The sequence below is a fragment of the Homo sapiens genome, chromosome 8 (assembly GCF_000001405.40).
Source record: "Homo sapiens chromosome 8, GRCh38.p14 Primary Assembly".
NCBI classification, from domain to species: domain Eukaryota; kingdom Metazoa; phylum Chordata; class Mammalia; order Primates; family Hominidae; genus Homo; species Homo sapiens.
The window spans coordinates 12515392-12542224 of record NC_000008.11 but is presented as its reverse complement, the minus strand read 5'-3'; the positions used below and the strand labels follow the sequence as shown (position 1 = coordinate 12542224).

Sequence of the window (26833 nt, the reverse complement as noted above, 5' to 3'; positions counted from 1 at the left end):
GCTTAGGATTGACTTGGTAATGCCAGCTCTTTTTTGGTTCCATATGAACTTAAGTAGTTTTTTTCCAATTCTGTGAAGAAAGTCATTGGTAGCTTGATGGGGATGGCACTGAAACTATAAATTACCTTGGACAGTATGGCCATTTTCATGATATTGATTCTTCCTACCCATGAGCATGGAATGTTCTTCCATTTGTTTGTATCCTCTTTTATTTCTTTGAGCAGTGGTTTGTAGTTCTCCTTGAAGAGGTCCTTCACATCCCTTGTAAGTTGGATTCCTAGGTATTTTATTCTCTTTGAAGCAATTGTGAATGGGAGTTCACTCATGATTTGGCTCTCTGTTTGTTATTGGTGTATACGAATGCTTGTGATGTTTGCACATTGATTTTTATCCTGAGACTTTGCTGAATTTTGCTATTTTAGTAGAGATGGGGTTTGCTGAATGCAGCCCCCAGTCACGTACTCCCTTCTTGGTCAATCGATCACGACTCTCATGATCACGACCCGCTTACGCGGACCCCCTTAGGGTTGTGAGCCCTTAAAAGGGACAGGAATTGCTACTTGGGGAGCTGGGTTGTTAGAGACGTGTGCCACCACTCCCAGCTATTTTTTGTGTTTTTAGTAGAGACGGGGTTTCCCCATGTTGGTTGGCCAGGATAGTCTCGATCTCTTGACCTCGTGATCCGCCCACCTCGACCTCCCATAGTGTTGGGATTACAGGTGTGAGCCACTCCACCCAGCCCAGTGAAGGCTTTTCATACTTGCTTGTCAGCCTCCTGCATCCTACTCCAGCACCTGGCGCTCACAACCTGTGGGCTGCTCTCATCCGTGATCATCTCTCCCCAGGCCTGCTGTTCCTCGAGGAAGGAAGTTGTAATGGGCAGAGTTCTAGGACAGCCCCCAAGAGAACCACTCCCTTATATCTGCTCCCTGTATCATCTCTTCTTGAGTGTGTGCAGAGCTTGTGATTTGGCCAAGGGGAAGGAATTTTGCAAATGTGATTATGGTCACACTTGCTTTGTTAAGCACATTTGCTCAGCTGACTTTGAGTTCATCCAAAGCAGGATGATCTTAGGTGTGCCAGACCTAATCAGGTGAGTCTTTTAAAGGTGAAGTTTCAGAGATTCAACCCTTAGCCTCCAAGGAGACAAAAATGGCCATGCTGTGAACTGTCTTTGGAGGTGGCAGCTCTAGGAGCTGAGGGCCTTCGTTCTACAATTGCAAGAAATTGAATTCAGTCCACAAACTGAATAAGCTTGGAAGAGGACACTGAGCATCTGATGAGACCCCAGCTGACACTCTGGTTGCAGTATTGTGACCCGGAATAGAAGATCCAGTTAAACCCTGCCCAGAGCCTTGGCTCATGGAAACAGATAATAACTGGATGGTGTTTTAAGCTGCTCAGTTTGCACTGGTAAATCCACCAACAGGAAAATAATATAGAAGTTAAATGGGCCAGGCATGGTGGCTCATGCCTGCAATCCCAACACTTTGGGAGGCTAAGGTGGGTGGATCACAAGGTCAGGAGGTCGAGACCATCCTGGCCAACATGGTAAAACCCCGTCTCTACTAAAAATACAAAAATTAGCCAGGCTTGGTGGCATGCACCTGTAGTCCCAGCTATTCAGGAGGCTGAGGCAAGGGAATCACTTGAACCCAGGAGGTGGAGGTTGCAGTGACCCGGGACCATGCCACTGCACTCCAACCTGGGCAACAGAGAGAGACTCCATCTCAAAAAAAAAAAAAAAAAAAAGTTAAATGAATACTTTTGACCATTGATGGAAGTTGCTTTCATTCCCTCTTACTTAATCATCTTTATCTTAGCCCTGAAAGAGGGATGCTTTAATCCCATTTGTAACAAGTGAGTCTGAGGCCCAGGAAAGTGATAGAATTTAGCAAAGTCCACCTTGCTACCTGGTGGTCCCAGCTAGAACTCTGCCCCAGGTCCATATACCTAAAGTCATTACAGCGTCCACTAAAATTTTGCCCCTCTCTCGATGCCTTCCTCTTTAGAAGCCTGTTCCTTCAGGGATAGATCCCAACTCAGTGTTACAAGGTACTGAACTCTGATTTTCACAAAATATAATAACTGCCCCCCAAAATTAATAATAGTATTTTTGAGCTGGGCACGGTGGTTCATACCTGTAATCCCAGCACTTTGGGAGGCTGAGGTGGGCGGATCATGAGGTCAAGAGATCGAGAGCATCCTGGACAACATAGTGAAACCCCGTCTCTACTAAAAATACAAAAATTAACTGGGAGTGGTAGCAGGCGCCTGTAATCCCAGCTACTCGGGAGGCTGAGGCAGGAGAATCGCTTGAACCCAGGAGGCAGAGGTTGCAGTGAGCCGAGATTGCACCACTGCACTACAGCCTGGCAACAGAGCAAGACTCCGTCTCAAAAAAAAAAAAAAAAAATGTATGTTTGAGTCCTTATGTGTCAACCACTGGGCTATCCCAACACCAATAGCTATTATGATTATGATTAGTTTTTCCATTTTATTGATGAGGAAACCAACACATAGAAAGGTAAAGGAACTTGCCAAAAGTGATGGTCACACAGCCAAAGAGCTGTAGAAGCAGCACAGGAATCCCAGCAAACTCACAGCCAAGCTCTGCTTTTCACCTTCACATCATACAGTCCTCAGACTAAAACCCTAACTCTGACCTTCCAAATCAAAAATCGTACTCAAGGCCGGGTGCGGCGGCTCACGCCTGTCATCTCAGCACTTTGGGAGGCCGAGGCAGGTGGATCACCTGAGGTCAGGAGTTCCAGACCAGCCAGGCCAACATGGTGAAACCCCATCTCTACTAAAAATACAAAACTTAGCCAGGCGTGGTGGTGGGTGTCTGTAATCCCAGCATTTTGGGAGGCTGACGCATGAAAATCACTTGAACTCAGGAGGCAGAAGTTGCAGCGATCCATGATCATGCCACTGCACTCCAGCCTGGACAAGAGAGTGAGACTCTGTCTCAAAAAAAAAAAAAAAAAAAAAAGAATTGTGCTTAATAATAGCTTGGAAGTGCACATATCTTCTGTGAAGTTTGATGGACTACAATTAGCTTCAAAACACAAATAAGTAACTGTGTTTAAATGAGGCCTTCTGTGTAATATCTAGGGAAAATCAATGTGGCTATTCATATTTTGTTTCCCCTTCCAGGCACAGAGAAGTTGCCCATGACTCTGTGATCCGTTTTGTCCAATGAACCATGAGCAGCAGCAACTTGAGTCACCTCCAGGTGGAAGTGTTAAGAGGTTGCTCTATGATCCACCACATTCCCTTTGCCCTGAAGTGGAGATCAAGGACACATGCAGAGATGGGGCTTTTGTCAGCCTGGATCCCTGAGTGAACACAATGAACAGACCACCCCAGAATGCCCTAACACAGCCCAGACATGCAACGTGACCAAGAATAAGCCTCACTGTGGCCAGGCATGGTGGCTCATGCCTGTCATCCCAGCACTTTGGGAGGCCAAGGTGGGTGGATCATTTGAGGTCAGGAGTTCAAGACCAACCTGGCTAACAGGGTGAAATCCTGTCTCTACTAAGTACAAAGATTAGCCAGACAGTGGTGGCATGGGCCTGTAATCCCAGCTACTCAGGAGGCAGGAGAATCACTTGAGTCTGGGAGGCAGAGGTTGCAGTGAGCTGAGATTGCACCACTGCACTCTAGTCTGGGTGACAGAGTGAGACCCTGTCTCAAAAACAAACAAACAAATACCTCACTGCATGAGGCCACTGAGATTTGGGGTTTGTTGTTACTGCACCAGAACCCAAATCATCCTGACCGCTAGGGTGTCCTAACTAGGGTTTCTTACCAAAAGCAAAGGCATTTTTAAAGTTCGTGACATTTAAACAAAAGAGCAAATACCAATATCTACCACTTTGTCAGGCTAAAAAACCCAAACAAAGCCAACAGCCAGAAGTTAAAATAAACAGATCATTAGGTTGAAAATAGAACTGTCAAAACAGGCACAATTGACTTCATTTAGTGATTGCAAAGAACATCAGGCAAGACACAGGTATGCTCATCATAACATTTATCACATGCTTCATTGCACATGTTTGACTAAGAAAAACAAAGTATTTAAGCTCATCTGTAGCTCAAAGTGCCTATCCGTGTATTTATCTATTCATCCTGATTTATTTATTGAGCAACTCTTTTGTGCCAGGCACTGTGCTGTGTTGCGGGAAGTCAGGGACCCCAAATGGAGGGACCAGCTGAAGCCATGACAGAAGAACGTGGATTATGAAGATTTTATGGACATTTATTAGTTCCCCAAATTAATACTTTTTTAATTTCTTATGCCTGTCTTTACTGCAATCTCTAAACATAAATTGTGAAGATTTCATGGACACTTATCACTTCCCCAATCAATACCCTTGTGATTTCCTATGCCTATCATTACTTTAATCTCTTAATCCTGTCAGTCGAGAAGGATGTATATCGTCTCAGGACCTGTAATAATTGCGTTAAGTACATAAATTGTACATCATGTGTGTTTGAGCAATATGAAATGTGGGCACCCTGAAAAAAGAACAGGATAACAGCAATTGTTCAGGGAATTAGAGAGATAACCTTAAACTCTGACCGCTGGTGAGCCAGGCAGAACAGAACCATATTTCTCTTCTTTCAAAAGCAAATGGGAGAAATATCGCTGAATTCCTTTTCTCAGCATGGAACGTCCCTGAGAAAGAGAATGCGCACCTAGGGGTAGGTCTCTGAACTGGCCCCCCGGGGCGTACCTGTCTCTTATGGTCGAGATTGCAGAGGTGAAATAAACTCCAGTCTCCCATAGCACTCCCAGGCTTATTAGGAAGAGAAAATTCCCGCCTAATAAACTTTGGTCAGACGGGTTGATCTCAAAACCCTGTCTCCTCATAAGATGTTATCAATGACAATGGTGCCAAAACTTCATTAGCAATTTTAATTTCACTTCCGTCCTGTGGTCTGGCCCTGTCTCCACTTGCCTTGTGATATTCTATTACCCTGTTAAGTACTTGATGTCTGTCACCCACACCTATTCATATACTCCCTCCCCTTTTGAAACTCCCTAATAAAAACTTGCTGGTTTTTGTGGCTTGTGGGACATCACGGATCCTACCAATGTGTGATGTCTCCCCCAGATGCCCAGCTTTACAATTTCTCTCTTTTGTACTCTGTCCTTTTATTTCTCAAGCCAGTCGACGCTTAGGAAAATAGAAAAGAACCTACGTGATTATCGGGGGAGGTCCCCCGATATCTGGCGCCCACGTGGTCTTTCTTTTTTCCTAAGTGCATGAGGGAACCGGATTCCGTTTGGTAGGTGCGGTGAAACGTCAATCGGCTTGGTCCACAGATAAGCGTGTTCAACTCCCCGATGAGTGGTGAGTAATCTGTGTAAGGTCTGGGTTAACTGTGGGTCATGTGTAATCTAACAAACTCCTGTTAAAACCGGTAACCATGAAAAATATGATCACTCTATTCAGGGCAGTAGAAAAATACTGTTCTTGGTTTCCTGAAAAAGGAACGGTGTATATAAAATTGTGTGATTGTGTCCGTAAGGCATTCCGAAAACTGATCTCGGCCGGGTATTATGTGCCCATCACTGTTTGGGGTGCTTGGTGCGTGACATCTTCGTGGCTTGCCAATCTCCTGACCCCCTGCAGTTGCCGCAGTTTTCTGCCTTTTCCTCAGTTTCTCTGCCTTTTTCTCAACCTTCCTCTCCCACATGGCCTTCGTTCAGACTCTCCCTTCAGCTACTCCTCCCCTCCCTAACGATTCTGAAAATTCGATTTCTAACTCTGGTAACTTTGGCTTAAAGTTACCCCCTACTTTTCTTACTTCTTCCCACGAAAAGCCGGTACTTCAAACTCCTGCGGCTGTGACTCAAAAAGCCCGGTACCATAAATATGCTAATTCTTCTCTCTTCAAACCTCCAGCATCAAATAATGGCTCTGGGACCAAACTACAATTTACCTGTCATTCTCCAGGCCCTCCCCCATCCACTACAGCCCCTCACCCTCCTGTCGTTTCAGTTCCTCAGCCAGTCTGCATCGATAGGCGCCGCTCAATCTTACCTTTTTAAAAACAATTTAAGGATGCTTGTACTCAGTATGGTCCTACTTTTCCTTATGTTCAAATGGTATTGCAAACTTTTTATACTGAGGTCGTTTTGCTTCCTTTAGACTGTGATCTTTTGGCAAAAAGCTGTTCTAAGTCCATCTCAGCCTGGTGGTAGGAGGAGGCCTGTTTACAGGCTCAGCTAAATCGGAGTAATGGCATTCTAATTACTCAGGCTCAGCTCACAGGCTCCGATAGTTTCTCTGATGCTTATGCCCAATTAAACTTTGATACTCTTACCACAGAACAAGTAACAAAAGTGTGTATGAGAGCTTGGGATAAACTACACTCCCCAGCCCAAGCTCCTGTTTCTTTTACTACTCTTCAACAAGCTCAATTGCTTTTACTACCTAATATCCTTTTAAACAAAGGAGATAAGACAAGTGGCCCTGGGATTCAGCAGGGGCCGCTTTCTAAAGAAAAACTGGAGGCTTTAAATCAATTGGTTTCTGAGCAGTTACAACTTGGAAATGTGGAACCTTCTCTTTCCCCTTGGAATTCTCCTGTTTCTAGTAAAAAAGAAATCAGGCAAATGGCGGATAGTAACCGATTTAAGGGCCATTAATGCTGTAATTAAACCTATGGGGGCCGTCCAACCCGGCATGCCTGCCCCTGCTTTAATACCTAAAGATTGGCCTCTCATAGTTATTGATCTTAAAGAGTTTTTTTTTTCATATCGCTTTACATAAATCGGATTGTGAAAAATTTGCTTTTACTGTACCATCTATCAATAATCAGGAGCCTGTAGCTCGTTATCAATGGAAAGTACTTCCTCAGGGAATGCTAAATAGCCCTACAATCTGCCAGCTTTATGTTGGACAAGTGCTTTCACCAGTTTGAGCCCGATTTCCCGAGGCCTATATTCTTCATTATATTGATGATATTTTAATTTCTGCCCCCACTGATAAAAAATTAATTGACTGTTACCAAATTTTGAACCGCTGTGTTACAGAGGCTGGATTACGCATTGCTCAGGATAAAATTCAACAGACCACTCCTGTTCAATATTTAGGAATGGTGGTCGATAAACAATGTATTCAACCTCAAAAAGTTCAAATTAGGAGAGATTCTTTAAAACTTTAAATGACTTCCAAAAACTTTTGGGTAACATTAATTATTTAAGACCTACTTTAGGCATTCCGACCTATACCCTGTCTAACTTGTTCTCTATGCTGCGGGGAGATTCTGATCTCCGCAGCCCTAGGACTTTGACCCCTGAGGCTTTACTGGATCTGGAATTTGTAGAGGAAAAAATCCAGACTGCCCAGTTATCTAGAGTACAGACATTTCAGCCTTTTCAGCTTCTGGTTTTTGCTTCATTACACTCTCCTACTGGACTAATAGTTCAACATAATGATTTAGTGGAATGGTGTTTTCTTCCTCATTCTGTGTCAAAAACTTTATCTAGACCAAATAGCCATATTAATTGGACAGGTTCGGTGCAGAATACTTCAATTTTCTGGATTTGATCCAAGTGTAATTGTAGTTCCTTTAAATCAGCTCGAAGTTCAAGCTGCCTTTCAACATTCTGTACTGTGGCAAATTCACTTGGCTGATTTTATTGGTGTTATTGACGATCATTATCCAAAAAAACAAATTGTTTGATTTTATAAAAATAACGTCTTGGGTGGTTCCTCGATTAACCAAAAATCAACCCATTCCTGAGGCCGTTACAGTATTCACTGATGGCTCTGGTAATGGCAATGCTGGCTATACAGGTCCTGCAGACAAACTTCTTTCTACCTCTTATACTTCTCTTCAAAATGCGGAGTTAATTGCTGTGATTACTGTCTTACAGGATTTCCCCAAACCTTTAAATATTGTCTCTTATTCTACTTAACGTGGGGAAGAGGATATGCTTGTGTTTCACCAGGAGATCATCAATCCCCTGTCTGGGTGCCCACCAGAAGACTCAAGCTTCTTGTGAATACTGACAATCAAAACCACAGTGAAGAGACGTCTGTGTCAGAGACTGCCTTCAGATGTGGTGAGATCTGTGCCGACTCCTCAGAAACAGGCACACCAAATCACAATGGGTGTAAATCAATCCTCCCTGATGACAGTGGAGACCCATCTAACTAATCACACTTATCCTGATTACCTTTCTTTTTCTCCTTACAAACCTAAATATCTCACCATTTCTATTAGCCTGAAAATAACATCCCACTCTTCTTCTCTTTCTCCTTCAGCACTCCATCTCGCTTACACTAGGTTTTATTTAATGATTCTCCTCCTTATACTTTCTGTCTCACCAGTTTCCTCTCACACTGATTTACCTGCTACACATAATTATTCTTCTTGGGCTTAGGTGTCTTTTCCTCCACTTATTCGCTCTCTCACCCGGATAGATGCTCCCGCAGAAATCTACACTAACGATAGTGTGTGGATGCCTGGAGCCATAGACGACCCTTGCCTCGCACAACCAGGAGAAGAAGGCACTGCATTTAATGTTACCATGGGTTATAAATACCCACCTCTGTGCCTCGGACATGCACCTGGTTGCATCCATCTAGAAACTCAGTTCTGGGCTGCTTATCTTTCAGAAACATCAGCTACAGATAAAATGGGACATTTGGCCTCTGGCCTCTCCCTTTCTCCTTTACAACAAATGAAAGGAGGAGTAATGGGAGGTACCCCATACTTTCAATATAAACCTGCAGGAAAACCATGCCCTAAACATTTTGAGGGACCATCTAAAACTTTAATTTGGGAAGATTGTGTTAACTCACATGCAGTAATATTAAAAAATGACTCATATGGTTTAGTAATAGACTGGGCACCATAGGGCTATTTAAAAAACAATTGCTCCTCTGTGGAAGGGAATGCCTGGAGGCTACTTATTTTATTTCTTATCAGGAGAAAGAGAATCATCATTCAAGGATCAGCTCATTCTTTCCCTTAAAATGGGAAGATAAAGGCATTACCCCCGCCCCCACCAGGCATCCTATGATACTCCCTATTCTGAGCCCAGAACACCCAGAACTTTGGAAATTGGCTATTGCCATGGCTGGACTGCGAGTATGGGAAGGAAAAACTATTTTGACTGTTGTTCCCACTACCGTCCCACTCTCTCAGTATCAACGTAGACCCAGATATTCTGCTTTACTTACCTCCAACCTGACTGTTCCCATACAGAGTTGTGTTAAGCCTCCTTACATGATATTGGTAGGAAATATCAAAATTTGGATGAATAATCAAATTGTCCAATGCATCAGTTGTCATCTATACACTTGTATTAACTCCCACTTTGACTCCAGGAAAAGTGTAATGTTGGTTTGAGCTCGAGAAGGAATCTGGATTCCGATAACTTTACCTAGACCTTGGGAATCCTCCCCCTCAATACATTTAATTAATGAATTGGTACAACGAATTCTAAAAGAACCTAAGATATTTGTTTTCACTTTAATCGCTGTTATCATGGGCCTAATTACAGTCACTGCAATGGCCACCACTGCTGGAATGGCATTACACCAGTCTATTCAAACGGCTCATTTTGTTAATGATTGGCAAGCCAATTCCACCCAAATGTGGAATTCTCAACAAGGCATCGATCAAAAATTGGCAAATCAAATTAATGATTTAAGACAGTCTGTTATTTGGCTTGGAGATCGGGTAGTGAGTCTAGAACATCGCATGCAAATGCAGTGCGATTGGAATACTTTGGATTTCTGCATCACCCCTATTCCTACAACGAGACTGATCATTCATGGGAAATGGTCAAAGGACATCTTCTAGGTAGAAAATATAATTTATCATTGAAAACAACTAAATTAAAAAAAAAAACAAATTTTTGAAGCCTCCCAAGCTCACTTATCCATCGTGCCTGGAGCTCAGGCGTTAGATCAGGTGGCAGAAAATCTTTATGGATTAAACCCCAGAACTTGGATTAAGTCTATTGGGGGCTCCACTGTAGTAAATTCTGGAATTATGTTTCTCTGCTTCATCGGCTTGCTTTTAGTGTGCCGTACCAGTCAAATAATCCTGTGTCAAAATCGAGAGAATGAACAAGCCTTCATCGCCATGGCACATTTATATAAAAAGAAAGGGAGAGATGTTGCGGGAAGTCGGGACCCCAAACAGAGGGACCGGCTGAAGCCATGACAGAAGAACGTGGATTATGAAGATTTTATGGACATTTATTAGTTCCCCAAATTAATACTTTTGTAATTTCTTATGCCTGTCTTTACTGCAATCTCTAAACATAAATTGTGAAGATTTCATGGACACTTATCACTTCCCCAATCAATACCCTTGTGATTTCCTATGCCTGTCATTACTTTAATCTCTTAATCCTGTCAGTCGAGAAGGATGTATATCGTCTCAGGACCTGTAATAATTGCGTTAAGTACACAAATTGTACATCATGTGTGTTTGAGCAATATGAAATGTGGGCACCCTGAAAAAAGAACAGGATAACAGCAATTGTTCAGGGAATTAGAGAGATAACCTTAAACTCTGACCGCTGGTGAGCCAGGCAGAACAGAACCATATTTCTCTTCTTTCAAAAGCAAATGGGAGAAATATCGCTGAATTCCTTTTCTCAGCATGGAACGTCCCTGAGAAAGAGAATGCGCACCTAGGGGTAGGTCTCTGAACTGGCCCCCCGGGGCTTACCTGTCACTTATGGTCGAGATTGCAGAGGTGAAATAAACTCCAGTCTCCCACAGCACTCCCAGGCTTATTAGGAAGAGAAAATTCCCGCCTAATAAACTTTGGTCAGACCGGTTGATCTCAAAACCCTGTCTCCTCATAAGATGTTATCAATGACAATGGTGCCAAAACTTTATTAGCAATTTTAATTTCACTTCCATCCTGTGGTCCTGTGATCTCACCCTGTCTCCACTTGCCTTGTGATATTCTATTACCCTGTTAAGTACTTGATGTCTGTCACCCACTCCTATTCATATACTCTCTCCCCTTTTGAAACTCCCTAATGAAAACTTGCTGGTTTTTGTGGCTTGTGGGGCATCACGGATCCTACCAATGTGTGTTGTCTCCCCCGGATACCCAACTTTAAAATTTCTCTCTTTTGTACTCTGTCCTTTTATTTCTCAAGCCAGTCGACGCTTAGGAAAATAGAAAAGAACCTACCTGATTATCAGGGCAGGTCCCCCGATAGTGTTGGGTGGTGGTAATGCAATGATGAAGATGGCAGGCATGCCTCTGCCCTCCAGGAGTTTCTAGGATACAGAGGGGGACAAACAAAAAATAAGTAAATCTATGAAAGAAGTATAGGTGGAAACTGCCCCCAATATTTCAATGTAGGTTCTTTCTGTTTTCCATAAGTGTCAGCCAGCTGAGAAATAAAGAGAGACACTACAAAGAGGAATTTTACAGCTGGGCTGCTGCGGGTGACATTACACATCAGTAGGACCGTGATGCCCCCTGAGTCTCAGATGAGCAAGTTTTTATTAAGGGCTTCAAAAAATGCATTCCTTTCCCAGGGTATTACTATTAATATTCCTTGCTAGGAAAAGAATTTAGCGATCTCTCTCCTACTTGCACATCCGTTTATAGACTCTCTGCAAGAAGAAACATATGGCTCTTTTTGCCCAACCCTGCAGGCAGGCAGACCTTATGGTTGTCTTCCTTTGTTCCCTAAAAATTGTCGTTATTCTCTTCTTTTTCAAGGTGCACTGATTTCATATTGTTGAAACACACATGTTTTACAATCAATTTGTACAGTTAACACAATTATCACAGTGGTCCTGAGGTGATGTACATCCTTAGCTTATGAATATAACAGAATTAAGAGATTAAAGACAGGCATAAGAAATTATAAAAGTATTATTTGGGAACTGATAAATGTCCATGAAATCTTCACCATTTATGTTCCTCTGCCATGGCTCCAGCCAGTCCCTCTCCATTTGGGGTCCCTGACTTCCCACAACAAGAAACAATAAGAGGTTAAGGTGGAGAAGAGCAGGCAAGTCCACTTTATAAAGGGGTCAGGGAAGAGCTGTCTGTGGAAGCACCATTTTAGCTGACACCTGAAGGATGGTCTAATTTGGGGAGGTGCAGGGAAAATCATTCCAGGCTGAAGCAGCAAGTGCAAAGGCCGTGTTGTGGAAAAAGGTTTGAAAGTCCAAGAAAACAAAAGGAGGCCATAGTGGCTGAAATAGAGTAGGCCAAGGGCAGGAGATAGTAGAGGGCTGGAGAGGTGGCAGGAACAGGCAGAAGACTCGGGGTCTCGATTTTATTCTATGTACCATGGGCAGGAAAGGCAGGGATGAGACTCAATGGAAGCCTTAAGATCACTGAAGCTGCCAGGTAGGAAATGGATTGCTGAGCATGGAGAGCAGGTGCAGAGTACCAGTTAAGACCAGTTAGGAGGCTGCTGTAGCCCAGCTGAGATAGTGGTGTCCTAGGCAAAGATAATGACAGTGAAGCTACAGAGAGTGGACAAGTTGGATAAAGTTTAGAATCACAGGACTTGCTGACTGCAGAAGAGGGCAAAAGCAGAGTTAGCACAACACATGAGTTATGACCACCTTGAGCAGCTCAGCAGGGGGTGGTGCCATTTACAGAACAGAGATGGCATGGACAGAGCCCATGGAGAAGGAGGAGGAAAAAGAGAGTTTGGCTTTGTTTTTTTTTTTTTTTAAGACAGGGTCTCTGGCTGTGTCACCCAGGCTGGAGTGCATTGGTGCAATCATAACTCTTTGCAGCCTCAAACTCCTGGGCTCAAGTGATCCTCCTGCCTCAGCGTGCCATGTAGCAGGACTACAGATCCTACAGATGCACATCACCATGCCTAGCTTTTTTTTTTTTTTTTTTTTTTTTTTTTTTTTTTTGTAGATAGGGAGTCTCACTGTGTTTTCCAGGCTGGCTTCCAACTCCTGGCCTCAAGTAATCCTCCCACCTCTGCCTCCCATAGCACTGGGATTACAGCCATCACCTACCACTCCAAGCCATGAGTTTGGCTTTGGATGTAACAAGGTTGAGGTGTTCATGAGTTGACAAGTGGAAAAAACAAGAAAGAAGTTGAGTGTTAAAACTGCTGTTTGAAGGAGAATTCTAGCCTCAAGACAAAAGTTCAGGACTCATTAGCTGAGAAATGGCACTGAAAATTATGTAAATGGATGAGCTCAGCTAGCAAACCAGTCCAGAGAGAGCAGCACTGGGCTATACATCTGGCCTAATGCCGCCCTGCTCCTCCCAATCCCTGTGTTATGCTGGAGAGGGTTCAGCCTCTGGTGAGTTTCACCAAACCCCCACATCTCTTTCTTCTGAGACCTTCTCTAAAATCCCCTCTTTTATACTTAGTGAAATGGGATTCTCTTTTTCCCATCCAGCTTAAGCACAAACTTTTGACTATGAGAAGAATGAGGATGCATTTAGTATCTGTTCTGCATGGCTAATTCCATCAAAGATTTCTCATTATTCATGCCTGGCAGTCTCATTTTCTTCTTTTGCCTCTAAGAGCACAGTCGTAGCCATAATTACTGACATTTTCACTCTTCTAATACCAGCTATTTCCCGCATCTCAGTTCTCAGGAAGTTCTGTTCACAGAATTATCTCCTGAATCCTCACCTGGAGATAGAAATTGTTCTCTGTGACCATTTCTTCCCCCTCTAATTCTTATCAAAAAACTCAGTGATCTCTGTGCATCAGATATTAAACTCAAGCTCAACAGATCATGATTCTGGCTTGTCTCTCTCTCCTGCCTGTGGGTTAACAGGTATGCAACCTTTGCAGAGGAGACACCAAATTCTCAGGAGGCCAGAGTTTCCAAAGGTACTGGTCACTCTTGCTCTCTTTCTCCTGCTCAGAATTCAGCACTAGAGAGTGTTACACCATTGCACCTGCAGAGGAGTTCATCTGACTCTAGGGACTACAGAGGAGAGAGATGGACAAACTAACAGGCATTCAGAAAATGACTACCACAATGGGGAAGAAAATGAAAGTCAAACCAAATAAGCAATGGTCAACAAAAAAAAAAATCTAGAGGGCAGCTGCAGTGGCTCACACGTGTAATCTCAGCACTTTGGGAGGCCGAGGCAGGTGGATCACTTGAGATCAGGAGTTCGAGACCAGCCAGGGCAACATAGTGAAACCACATCTCTACTAAAAATACAATAATTAGCCAGGTGTGGTGGCGGGCACCTGTAATCCCAGCATTTTGGGAGGCTGAGGTGGGTGGATCACCTGATGTCAGGAGTTTGAGACCAGCCTGGCCAACATGGTGAAACCCTATTTCTATTAAAAAATACAAAAATTAGCCAGGTGTGGTGGCAGGTGCCTGTAATCCCAGCTACTTGGGAGGCTGAGGCAGGAGAATTGCTTGAACCCAGGAGGCAGAGGTTCTGGCGAGCAAAGATTGCACCACTGCACTCCAGCCTGGGCAACAGTGAGACTTCGTCTCAAAAAAAAAAAAAAAAAAAAAAAAAAAAAACAACCTAGAGATGTCCATCCAGGCTGGACAGAATATTCCAGAGCAGAGATTGGGACACTATGGCCTATGGGCCAAATCTGACCTGCTTGCACATGTGTTTGTCAATAAAGTTTTATTGAAACACAGCCATGCACATTTGCTACATATTGTCTACGGCTGCTGGATTTGGCTGTTCTCATGGTATAAAGAAATACCTGAGACTGGGTAATATATAAAGAAAAGAGGTTTAATTGGCTCGCAGTTTTGTAGGCTATACAGGGAGCATGACACTGACATCTGCTGAGCTTCTGTGGAGGCCTCAGGAAACTTACAATGATGGCAGAAAGTGAAGCGGGAGCAAGAGAGTAAGGAGGGAGGTGCGACACACTCGTAAACAACCCGATCTTGCAAGAACTCACTCACTATTGCAAGGACAGGACCAAAAGGATGATGCAAAATCATTCATGAGAAATCCACCCCCATGATTCAATCTCTTCCCACCAGGCCCCACCTCTAACACTGGGGACAGCTTTTATCTTGGCTTTTTCACTGGCAGCCCCTTCCTCAAGGACTTAACTTGTGTAAGCTGACTCTTAGCAGATCTAAGAATGCAATTAACTGATAAGATACTGTGGGGCGAGCAATATCCACAGTTCCCAGGAATTTGTCCAATTGATAATGCCTAAAGCCCCACGTCTATCACTTTGTAATAGTCTTAAAGCCCTTAGACCTAGAACTCTTTACTTTCCTGTATCAATTTATCCTTTTAACTTTTTTGCCTACTTCTGTAAAATTCTTTTAACTAGACCTGTTTCCCCTTTCTAAACTGAAGTATAAAAGAAAATCTAGCCCCTTCTTCGGGGCCAAGAAAACGTTAAGAGTTAGCCATTTCTTAGGCACCAGCTAAATAAGGAGACTCTTAATTCATGTGAAAGTGTGGCATTTTCTCCAACTCATTCAAGTACAACATTTGGAGGCCCCAGCGAGAAACGCCATGAGGAGAGAGCCGGGCTCCCCCAGAAGGACGGCCGGCTTGTGGGGGGTGCCACCTAAAAAAAAACCTTCAGGTCCTCGAAAAGTGACCGTCTTCCAGAGGAGAGCGGATCGACTACCCGGTGGGTGCCCATAAAAATTCCACCTCTGAGTCCTCGACTTCTGACCCTGAGGTCACGTAGGTCAGATTTGACTTCAGTTCTAGGAAGAGGGAAGCGGCCCTGATGAGGGTGTCCCTCTTTCGACTCTGCATGTTTCTCTAGGACGCTAGAAGGTAGAGCCCTGGTTTTCTGTTAGGCACCTCTGTGTCTCTTTCTAGGAGGGAAGTGGCCCTGACAGGGGCCCTCCCTTGACTCAGTCCACATCCCAGGAAGCTGGAGGACTGAGTCCTGGTTTCCGGCAGACCGGTCACTCTCTCTCTCTCTGTTTCTATCTCTCATCTTTCTCTTGTTCAAGTTTCTTGAAGAATCTCCAAGAAAGAAAAAAAAAAAACTGTTATATACTCTGTGTGAATAATGAATGAGTGAGGGAGGACAAGGGCTCGCGCTTGTCCTCCAGTTTGTAGCTCCACGGCGAAAGCTACGGAGTTCAAGTAGGCCCTCACCTCACCTGCGGTTCTGTGGCGACCCCATAAGGCTTAAGGCAGCATCAGGCATAGCTTGATCTGAGCCGGAAGTTTATACCGGCCTGCCAATGCTAAGAGGAGCCCAAGTCCCCTCAGGGGGAGGGGCCAGGCAGTTATCTGACTGATCCTATCACAGGAAACCCTCCCCTTGTCTGTCTAAAAAAAAAAAAAAAAAAAAAAAAAAAGGAAGAAACTGTCGTAACTGTTTACATGCACTAAAGTCAATTGTTTGTTTTATATTGATTGTTCTGCTCAGTGTCTATTGTCTTGTTAGTAGTTGTCAGAGTTTTGCATGTCAAGACGTTGATATTGCCAAGACGTCTAAGTAAAAACTTCTTCAAAGCCCTTAGTGCTGATTTTTTGTCACAGGAGGTTAAATTTCTCATCAATCTTTTAGGCTGGCGACCACAGTCCTGTCTTTTCTGCCAGAAGCAAGTCAAGTGTTGTTACAAGAACAAGTGTGAAAAACATTTGCCTGATTAAGATTTCTAGCACTATGAAAGTTGTAAGTATTTAGATCGTCATACTCCACGTCCAGGTGATTAGACCTCCTCTAAACTAAACCAGTAGTGAGTTCAAAACAGCCACCCTGCAAATTTCCTTGCTCACCTCTCTCGTCATTCTGTAACTTTTCCTGTGCCCTTAAGTAGAACACTGTGTAAAGAAATGTACGCCCGTACTGCTTTACTTCATTTAGATTCTTACTCTGTTCCTCTGTGGCTACTGTCCCATCTTAAAAATGATCCGAGTAGTCCTTTTCTGCCTTGTCCCTGCCCCCTATCCCGCACATCTCGTTTTACGGTGCGACAGCAAGTTTACCATCTCCAGGACTTGGCTCTGCTCTCACTCCTTAAACCCTTAAAACAAAAAGCTAAGTTTAAGCTATTTGCATTTAAGTCATAAAGACACCAAAAATATTTAAAGTGCAGATCTAGAAGAAGAAGAAGAACGCCTAGATCAAACTGACCCAGAAGATCTCAGGCTGGCTCTAGTCCTCCTCCCTCAATCTTAAAGCTACAGCAATGTAGCAAGTAGTATTAGCTGTTGTAAGTTTTTCTGCTCTCTCTGGTCATACTGATTCTGTTCTTTCACTATGCCAGTCCCCCAAGAAATAAGTTTCTCTGTCCATGCTAAGTTTAATATCTATGCTCAAATCTTATTAAATTGCCTTCAAAAAAAATAAAAATAAGAAACACTTCCTCCCAGCCTTGTAAAGTTAAAGCCCTCTCCAATGTATGCTGCAGAATTTTTCTCTCAGTTCAGAGGATTATAAAGTCCGCCTAAAAAAGGCAAGTTCCAGACACTCTGCAAAATAAAATGGCCAAAGTTTAAAGTCAAGTGGCCCCCTGAAGGGTCATTGAACCTCACAATTGTTCAAGCTGTGTGGCAGGTTGTTACTGAAACTCCTAGTCACCCTGATCAGTTTCCCTACATTAGCTACGTTTAGTCAGGATCCACTCTCCATGGCTCCGTTCATGCGCCATTCATAATTCTACCTCCAAGGTCCTCCTAAGCCAGACCGCGTTTTCGCCTCAACCCTCAGTCGGTTCAGCTTCCCCTGTACTGCCTCCCTCTGAAGAAGAGGAGAGTCCCCCTCACCCAATCCCACCGCCTTACAACCAACCTTCTCCCTTAAAGTTATCCCATGTCTCCTCGACGACGTCCCCTGTAGGCTCGCCACCCATTGCCTCTCAGTCATGACCGTGGCAGGAAGAAGTAGTCCCTCTACTACCACTGAGAGAGGCACAAGTCCCTCCAGGTGACGAGCGCTCAGCACCCTTCTTAGTTTGTGTCCCTTTTTCTACTTCTGACTTATATAATTAGAAAACCCATAATCCTCCCTTCTCTGAAAAGCCCCAGGCTTTGACCTCTCTGACAGAGTCTGTACTCCGGACCCGCCCGCCCACCTAAGATGATTGCCAACAGCTCCTTTTAACCCTTTTCACCTCTGAAAAGAAGGAACGTATCCAAAAAGAAGCCAAAAAGTACTTCCTCACATCAGCCAACGGACCGGAAGAAGAAGCTAGAGACCTCCTTGAGGATGTCTTTCCCTCTACCCAGCCTAACCAGGACCCACATTCCTCAAGTAGAAAGGGAGCTTTAGACGATTTTCACCGGTATCTCCTCGCAAGTATTAAAAGAGCCTCTCAGAAACCCATCAACTTGTCTAAGACGACCGACGTTGTCCAAAAGCCCGATAAGTCACCAAGAACGTTTTAGAGCGCCTCCAGGAGGCTTATCGGATTTACACCCCTTTTGACCCGGCAGCTCCCGAAAATAGCCTTGCTCTTAATTTAGCATCTGTGGCTCAGGCAGCCCAGGATATTAAAAAGAAACTCCAAAAACTAAAGATTTTCTAGAATAAATATCAGTCAGCTTTTAGAAATAGCCCAAAAAGTTTTTGATAATCAAAAGCTTAAAAAACAAAAGCAACACAGGCAACTGGAAAGGCCGCTGATAAAGCATTCAGAAGACAAACAAAAATCTTAGTGGCAGCCATCCAAGAAGTACAGAATGAAGTAGCCCGTTAATTTAGCATTAACTGAAGCCCCTGCTTTAGCCCTCCCTAATATCTCCATAAAAGCCAAGGAGTTGCTAAAGACGTGCTTACTCAGACTTTAAGACCCTAAAGCCGCCCAGTGGCCTATTTGTCTAAGAGGCTAGATCCTGTGGCCTCTAGATGGCCAAGTTGTCTTCGAGCCTTAGCGGCTACAGCAAGCCTGGCCCAAGAAGATGATAAGTTAACTCTAAGCCAAAATTTAACCCTTACAGCTCCTCACGCCGTAAAGACCTTACTACAAAATGCTTCTGGCAAATAGATGTCAAATGCTCGCATCTTGCGGTATCAAAGTTTACTGTTAGATCAGCCTCGTTTGACTTTCTCTCCCACAAAGTGTTTCAATCCAGCTACACTACTTCCTGACTCAGACTCCACTATTCCTGCTCATGACTGTCAAGAACTGTTAGAAACTATCGAAACTGGCCTATCTGATCTTCAAGCTGTGCCCCTAGAAAAGGCAGATGCCGCCGTGTTCACAGACGGTAGCAGCTTCCTCAAGCAGGAAATATGAAGAGCCAGTGCAGCTGTTACCACGGAGACACATTTGTTGTAAGCTCAAGCTTTACCAGCGAACACCTCAGCACAAAAGGCTGAATTGATCGCCCTCACTCAGGCTCTCCAATAAAGTAAGAATAAACTTATTAACATTTACACTGACAGCAAGTACGCCTTTGCTGCTGTGCATGTACATAAAGCCATCTACCAGGAAAGCAGGCTACTCACCTCAGCAGGTAGCTGTGATCCACCGCAAAGGACATCAAAAAGAAAACACGGCCGTGGCCCATAGTAACCAGAAAGCTGATTCAGCAGCTCAGGTCGCAGCAAGACTTTCAGTCACGCCTCTAAACTTGCTGCCCACAGTCTCCTTTCCACAGCCAGATCTGCCTGACAATCCCGTATACTCAACAACAACAACAACTGGCTTCGGATCTCAGAGCCAATAAAAATCAGGAAAGTTAGTAGATTCTTCCTGACTCTAGAATCTTCATACCCTGAACTCTTAAACAAACTTTAACCAGTTACGTACAGTCTATCACCCATTTAAGAAGAGCAAAGCTACCTCAGCTCCTCCAGAGCCATTTTAAGATCCCCGGTCTTCAAAGCCTAAAGATTAAGCAGCTCTCCAGTGCACAACCTGAGCCCAAGTAAATGCCAAACAAAGTCCTAAACCCAGCCCAGGCCACTGTCTCTGGAAAAAGTCGCCAAGAAAAAAGTAAGAAATTGACTTTACAGAAGTCAAACCACACCAGGCTAAGTACAAATACCTTCTAGTACTAGTAGACACCTTCTCCAGATAGACTAAGGCATTTGCTACCGAAAACGAAACCACCAACATAGTAGTTAAGTTTTTACTCAATGAAATCATCCGTCAATATAGGCTGCCTGCTGCCATAAAGTCTGATAATAGAGCAGCCTTCACCTCGCCTATAGCTCAGTCAGTCAGTAAGGCGTTAAACATTCAACAGAAACTCCATTGTGTCTATCAACCCCAGAGCTCCAGGCAAGTAGAACGCATGAACCACACCCTAAAAAACACTCTTATAAAATTAATCTTAAAAAAACAGTGTAAATTAAGTAAGTCTCCTTCCTTTAGCCCTACTTAAATTAAGGTGCACCTCTTACCAGGCTAATTTCTCACCTTTTGAAATTATGTATAATAAGGCACCGCCTATCTTGCCTAAGCTAAGAGATGCCAAATTAGCAGAAATATCACAAACTAATTTATTACAGTACCTATAGTCTCTCCAACAGGTACAAGATATTATCCTGCCACTTGTTCCAGGAGCCCATCCCAATCCAATTCCTGACCAAAGTCCTGCCATTCGTTCCAGCCAGGAGACCTAGTGTTGTTAAAAAGTTCCAAAAAGAAAGACTCACTCCTGCTTAGAAAAGACCTCACAACGTCATCTTCACGACTCCAATGGCTCTGAAAGTAGATGGCATTCCTGCTTACATTCATCACTCCCGCATCAAAAAGGCCAACAGAGTCCAACTAAAAACATAAGTCCCCAAGCCTAAGTCAGGCCCCTTAAAACTGCACCTAAGTCAGGTGAAGCCATTAGATTCATTCTTTTTATCTACCTCACTCACTTGTTTTTGCCCGTTACATCCTCTGTGCCTTCCTACTCCTTTCTCCTCACCTCTTTCACAACAGGACTTGTACTTGCAAACACCACTTAGAAGGCCAGTACCTCCAAGGAAGTGTCCTTTGCAGTTGACTTATTTGTACTCTTCCCAAAGCCAGCCCATACCCACGAAAAGCAACACAATCTGCCAGTTCCAGGAGCAGGAAGTGTCGACTTTGCAGCAAGACTCAGACACTCCAAGAGCCAAACTAAATGTAGAAGCTCCAAAAGTGCAGAAAAAAGACTCCAAAATATTTACTTTTACCTCTGTCCTAGAAATCACCCTGATGCTAGCTGTCAAGATACTTATCAGTTTTCCTGTCTTGATTAGACATGTGTAACTTTAGCCACCTGCTCTAAAAGATCAACCAGATCTTCAACTCTTTCCATAAGTCCTGCTTCTCATCCTAAATTATATACTAGAAGAAATTGTAATCCTCTTACTATAACTGTCCATGACCTTAATTCAACACAACAGTATCATGGCATGTCATGAAGATTAAGATTTTATATCCCAGGATTTAATGTTAAGTCTATGTTCACCATCCAAAAAAAACCTAGTCTCATAAAGCCTACCCAAGCCAATCAGGCCTTTAACTGATCTAAGTAACCCTATGTTCCAGAAACACCCTGAGAAAGTTGATTCAACTGTTCCTCCACCATTCTTAGGCATAAAAGATACACTCCAGAAAGTGCAAGAAAATCTAGATAAGCGCCAACAAGAACAAGAAAATAACATCCCCTAGTATCAAAGCATGTTCAACTAGAACCCAGAGCTAACTATTCTAATTACTCAGTTAGCCAGACCCCCTCCCCATCCTACTATTAAGTTTAATTTTTGGACCTTGTATATTAAATTAGTTTATTAATTTTGTAAAACAACGTATACCTTCTGTCAAACTTATGTATCTTAAGACTCAAAATAACCCCCTCGTTATAACTGAAGAATCAACGATTTGATTCCCCAAAAATACAAGTGAGGAATGTAATGCCCAACCTTGTTTTTACTAACCCTGTTCTTAGACTCTCCCTTTCTTTTAATCACCTAGCCTTGTTTCCACCTGAATTGACTCTCCCTTAGCTAAGAGAGGCAGACAGACTCCATCTTGGCTCTTTCACTGACAGCCCCTTCCTCAAGGACTTAACTTGTGCAAGCTGACGCCCAGCACATCGAAGAATGCAATTAACTGATAAGATACTGTGGTGAGCAATATCCGCAGTTCCCAGGAATTCGTCCAATTGATAACGCCCAAAGCCCCGCGTCTATCACCTCATAATAGTCTTAAAGCCCCTAGACCTAGAGCTGTTTACTTTCCTGCAACAATTTATCCTTTTAACTTTTTTGCCTACTTCTGTAAAATTGTTTTAACTAGACCCCCCTCCCCTTTCTAAACGAAAGTATAAAAGAAAATCTAGCCCCTTCTTCGAGGCCGAGAGAACTTTAAACGTTAGCCATTTCTTAGCCGCCAGCTAAATGAACAGACTCTTAATTCGTCTTAAAGTGTGGCATTTTCTCTAGCTCGTTCAAGTACAACACATCCAGCAGGCACGTAATCCACTCTAAAATGCCATCCTGGGGTAGTGAAGATGATGATGCTGGAAATATCCTTAAATGGCATGTGGATGTGTACCCCCAGAGGCATACATGTTGAGCTAAGTACTTTGCTGATGAAGGGTACAAGTTGAAGGGGTTTTGAAAGGCAGAGTGAGGTTCTTCAGAAGGCTGTTGCTACAGAAAGACAGGAGGAGAAATTACATGGCCAGATAGAGTGGCATGACCATTGGATAAGGGCTTTTTGTTTGTTGGTTTTTGAGATGGAGTTTTACTCTTGTTGCCCAGGCTGGAGTGCAATAGCACGATCTCAGCTCACCGCAACATACGCCTCCCAGGTTCAAGCGATTCTCCTGCCTCAGCCTCTCTAGTAGCTGGAATTACAGGCATGTACCACCACTCCCGGCTAATTGTGTATTTTTTGTAGAGATGGGGTTTGTCCATGTTGGTCAGGCTGGTCTTGAACTCCCGACCTCAGGTGATCCACCCGCCTTGGCCTCCCAAATTGCTGGGATTACAGGCGTGAGTCACCGTGCCCAGTCTGGATGAGGGTCTTTAGCAAAGATGGAAGTTTTGGTACCTTGCAGTTTAGTCTCTTCATTTATGTCCTCCTGAAATCTTCAGGAATTGCACTATTTTGTCAATACTTCTGGGGTCGTACTTAGGGGGACTTAAAGGAGATGTGATGTGGCAGCCTTTGACTCAAGGGAGTATCATACTAGCTCAAAGAGATCTGGGTACATGCCAGTTGAACCAACTCTTCTGAGGATGTGATAGATCCTGGGAGGCCACTCTGATCCTGCCAACGTTGAGGCCAGATGAGTCTTTGAAAAACATGGTTTGGCTTAACACCAGCACTTACTCTAACACCCACCATGAATCTTGCTGAACTGAAGCTATACAAATACCTTTTCAAAAGATTTTTTTTCATTCAAGATCCTTCTTAGAAATTCCTAAGGCTCAATGCTTTGTGGAAGATTCTGAGAAAGAAAATAGTTTCCGATCTTTGGGATTCCCGAGATGGTCCAATCTGCAAAAAGTTCATTGCCATTTCCATCAAGGACACTGAGAACAAGAGTCTTATCTGGATTGGATCCTGGGAATTGAGAAGCTTCAGCAGGTGGGAAATGCACCCTCCACAGGCTCACACCCTTGTGGGCTGTTTCAGTTACCTATTGCACCTAAAATTAGAAACTTTAAACCACCAGAAGCCATTATTGCTCATGACCCTGTGAGTTGCATGGGGACTTCCTGGCTGGTTTAACCTGGGCTCATTTGTGTGGCTACCTGCAGCTGGAGGGCCAGCTGGGCGGAGCATCCAGGATGGCCTCATGCATGTGCCTGGCAGTTGGTGCTGGTTGTCAGCCGGGGAACCTTGTTTTCCTCCATGTGGCCCCTCGCCCTCCAGAGCCCCTCTCCAAATGTCCCTTTAAGCAGGATAGCCAAGGTTTGCTTGGTGCCAGCATCCAAGAGGGCAAAAATATGGAAACTACGAGAGGGCTCTCAAGGCCTAAGACTATTTGCACCCCAAAAATATGAGGTCTCAGTTAATTCAGAAAGTTTATTTTGCCAAGGTTAAGGACTCACGCCTGTGACACAGCCTCGGGAGGTCCTGACAACATGGGCCTAAGGTGGTGGGGACACAGCTTGGTTTGATACATTTTAGAGAGACATGAGACATCAATCAATATGTGTAAGATGTACATTGTTTCAGTCTGGAAAGGCGGGACAACTCCAGGTGAAAGTGAAGGTGAGACAAGGGGAAGGGGCTTCCAGGTCATTGGTAGTTAAGAGACAAATGGTTGCATTGTTTTGAGTTCCTGATTAGCCTCTCCAAATGAGGCAATCAGATATACATTCATCTCAGTAAGCAAAGGGTTAACTGAATAGAATGGGAGGCAGGTTTCCCTTAAGCAGTTCCCAGCTTGACTTTTCTCTTTAGCTTAGTAACTTTTTTTTGGGTGGGCGGACAGAGTCTCGCTCTGTTGTGCAGGCTGGAGTGCAGTGGTACGATCTCGGCTTATTGCAACCTCCAACTCCAGGGTTCAAGAAGTTTCCCTGCCTCAGCATCCCAAGTAGCTGGGATTACAGGCGCCTGCCACCACGCCTGGCTAATTTTCATATATTTTAGTAGAGATGGGGTTTTGTCATGTTGGCCAGGCTGGTCTTGAACTCCTGACCTCAGGTGATCTGCCCACCTCAGCTTCCCAAAGTGCTGGGATTACAGGCGTGAGCCACGGAGCCCAGCCTAGCTTAGTGATCTTGGGGCCCCAAGGTTTATTTTCCTTTTACGGCTAGAAGTTGGTCACCATCAATTTGGCAGCATTCCACTGACCAAAGCAAGTCATAGGCAGCCCAGATTCATGTAGAGGAGTATAAATTTTCCCTCTTTAAGGAAAGATTGGTTCAATTATACTGCACGAACATTTGCAGAAAGTTGTACCCATCTTTGGAAACCACACACACACACACACACACACACACACACACACACACACACCCCTTTACATGCAACCCTCCCTTGAGGTGCATCTACTTCCAGGCAGAACCAAAACTTGACAGTACTCGACAGAAGAAAAGTAGCGTCCTAAATGCCAGTTCTCTTCTTACTCAACTTCAGCCTCATTATAAGCAGATTCTAACAGTTTATGTGTCTTGAGAAACATTTTAATTAATCTTTGGAATTTAAGAATTTCAATTCATAGCAGTAGCCTATGCATAGGAAATATGCATATTGTAAGTTTTTCCTTTCTGATAAATCACGCTGGGGGAACGACAATGTAACTTTTTTTTTTTTTTTTTTTGAGGAGTCTCACTCTGTTGCCCAGGCTGGAGGGCAGTGGCATGATCTCAGCTCATGCAACCTCCCCCTCCCTGGTTCAAGCAATTCTCCTGCCTCAGCCTCCTGAGTAGCTGGGATTACAGGTGCACAAGACGGGGTTTCACCATGTTGGTCAGGTTGGTCTCGAACTCCTGACCTCTGATCTGCCCACCTCAGCCTCTCAAAGTGCTGGGATTATAGGCGTGAGCCACCGGCTCACGTATACTGTGACAGTATATTGAAAGTTTCTCTTTTTTTCAAATAATTAACAGGTTTAACAGAATGTATCTCCTGATCTATTCCTTTCACTGCAGACATCTATTGCCTTTTCAGCCTAGCAGCCCTCCCCTCTATAGAGAGTCACACTTCCTACTCCAGTCATGTGGATCTCATGGGGGCTGCCATGTTCTCAAATGACTCCACCTCCCTGGCCTCAGTTGATTGGTCCAGGGATGAGCATCTGGCCTAAATTGGCCAATCAGAATTCTTCCCTTGAATATTTTTCCAAACTGGAACTAGACCAAGTTAATCATTCTCTGTGATGACAGGAATTGTGTGTAGTGAGAAATACAGGAGCTTTTGTGGACACGTTTCTCACCTTATGGAGAAAAGGCTTGAGTAAGAAGAAATTAAGCCAGTATGCAGACAAAGCTAGAGACAGAGATAGAGAGAGAGATCTTGTGGTAAGCCCCTTGGTTTTTGTCATTTTAGTACATGCTCGATACTGCATACAACCAAGACTTTCACCTGAGGGCTTTCTGAAAGTCAGGCATGGAGTATGTCAGAAAAGCCACAGAAGCTGGGCGCAGTGGCTCACTCCTGTAATCCCAACACTGGGAGGCCGAGGCAGGTGGATCACGAGGTCAGGAGTTAGAGACCAGCCTGACCAACGTGGCAAAACCCCGTCTCTACAAAAAATAAAAAAATTAGCCGGGCATGGTGGCAGGCGCCTGTAATCCCAGCTACTGAGGAAGCCGAGGCAAGAGAATCGTTTGAACCTGGGAGGCAGATGTTGCAGTGAGCCGAGATCATGCCTTTGCAGTCCAGCCTGGGTGACAGAGCAAGACTATGTCTCAAAAAAAAAAAAAAAGAAGAAGAAGAAAGCAAAGCCAGAGAGTTGATGCCCTGGGACCAGTCCTCAGCCAGTGACGGATGGGAGCCAGGCTATAAATGCTTCAATATCTTTGCCCCCTGGATGGAACAACTTTGAAATGTATTCCACATCACCTCTCAGAGGTCCCCAGTGGGGTCAAATCCTAGTTGCCTAGAGTGGTAAGCTGCTCATTGAAGCCCCCTGTGTGGCCTCCTACCTTTCCATGAATCAATTCCTCACTCCCCTATTGGTGTCCCCTGGAATCATCTCCTAAATAATCCACTTGCAATCCTGTCCCTCTTTCAGGATCTGCTTGGGGTTGGGGTTGGGGAGTGCAGAGAAAAACATGATCCCTTTTCCACTCCACACTAGTAAGATGAGTTTCTGTCACTGACAACCAAGAGTTCTGACTATTACCTCCTTCTGAGATAATTCCTAAAATGTATTTGGGAATTTCCCCACCTCCACCCCACTGCATATGTCATCAATATGTAGATTTCTTAACAAAGTGGTATTCTTTGATCAACCTCAAGTTTCACAAAACACACTGCACTTTCATAAGGGCTCCCCAGGACTGACAGATCAG

At 44.0% G+C, this 26833-nt stretch overlaps 2 long non-coding RNA genes across 3 annotated transcripts in view, besides 6 other annotated features; one reads left to right on the top strand and one right to left on the bottom strand.

The window, feature by feature from the left end:
• The window catches only part of LOC729732 (uncharacterized), a 128533-nt gene extending 123387 nt beyond the window's left edge, over window positions 1-5146 (top strand). The window contains exon 9 of the long non-coding RNA NR_047662.2: window positions 3160-5146. This is a non-coding gene — a long non-coding RNA (uncharacterized LOC729732). The remainder of the gene's footprint in view (window positions 1-3159) is intronic.
• FAM86B2-DT (FAM86B2 divergent transcript) overlaps window positions 1-26833 on the bottom strand; it is a 129833-nt gene that overhangs the window by 24621 nt on the left and 78379 nt on the right. For both annotated transcript variants that reach the window (NR_040092.1, NR_040091.1), the window contains one exon: window positions 11194-11282. This is a non-coding gene — a long non-coding RNA (FAM86B2 divergent transcript). The remainder of the gene's footprint in view (window positions 1-11193; window positions 11283-26833) is intronic.
• Window positions 2246-3111: an enhancer, noted in NCBI's record as "H3K27ac-H3K4me1 hESC enhancer chr8:12396623-12397488 (GRCh37/hg19 assembly coordinates)". NCBI's record gives its function as "activates a minimal SCP1, AML or CMV promoter by ChIP-STARR-seq in primed H9 embryonic stem cells {active_cell/tissue: H9 hESC(primed)}" and the evidence as "EXISTENCE:reporter gene assay evidence [ECO:0000049][PMID:30033119]".
• Window positions 4544-5169: an enhancer, noted in NCBI's record as "OCT4-NANOG-H3K27ac hESC enhancer chr8:12394565-12395190 (GRCh37/hg19 assembly coordinates)". NCBI's record gives its function as "activates a minimal SCP1, AML or CMV promoter by ChIP-STARR-seq in naive H9 embryonic stem cells {active_cell/tissue: H9 hESC(naive)}" and the evidence as "EXISTENCE:reporter gene assay evidence [ECO:0000049][PMID:30033119]".
• Window positions 10354-10890: an enhancer, noted in NCBI's record as "NANOG hESC enhancer chr8:12388844-12389380 (GRCh37/hg19 assembly coordinates)". NCBI's record gives its function as "activates a minimal SCP1, AML or CMV promoter by ChIP-STARR-seq in primed H9 embryonic stem cells {active_cell/tissue: H9 hESC(primed)}" and the evidence as "EXISTENCE:reporter gene assay evidence [ECO:0000049][PMID:30033119]".
• Window positions 15709-16403: an enhancer, noted in NCBI's record as "NANOG-H3K4me1 hESC enhancer chr8:12383331-12384025 (GRCh37/hg19 assembly coordinates)". NCBI's record gives its function as "activates a minimal SCP1, AML or CMV promoter by ChIP-STARR-seq in naive H9 embryonic stem cells {active_cell/tissue: H9 hESC(naive)}" and the evidence as "EXISTENCE:reporter gene assay evidence [ECO:0000049][PMID:30033119]".
• Window positions 17114-17651: an enhancer, noted in NCBI's record as "OCT4-NANOG-H3K27ac hESC enhancer chr8:12382083-12382620 (GRCh37/hg19 assembly coordinates)". NCBI's record gives its function as "activates a minimal SCP1, AML or CMV promoter by ChIP-STARR-seq in primed H9 embryonic stem cells {active_cell/tissue: H9 hESC(primed)}" and the evidence as "EXISTENCE:reporter gene assay evidence [ECO:0000049][PMID:30033119]".
• Window positions 18794-19293: an enhancer, noted in NCBI's record as "H3K27ac hESC enhancer chr8:12380441-12380940 (GRCh37/hg19 assembly coordinates)". NCBI's record gives its function as "activates a minimal SCP1, AML or CMV promoter by ChIP-STARR-seq in naive H9 embryonic stem cells {active_cell/tissue: H9 hESC(naive)}" and the evidence as "EXISTENCE:reporter gene assay evidence [ECO:0000049][PMID:30033119]".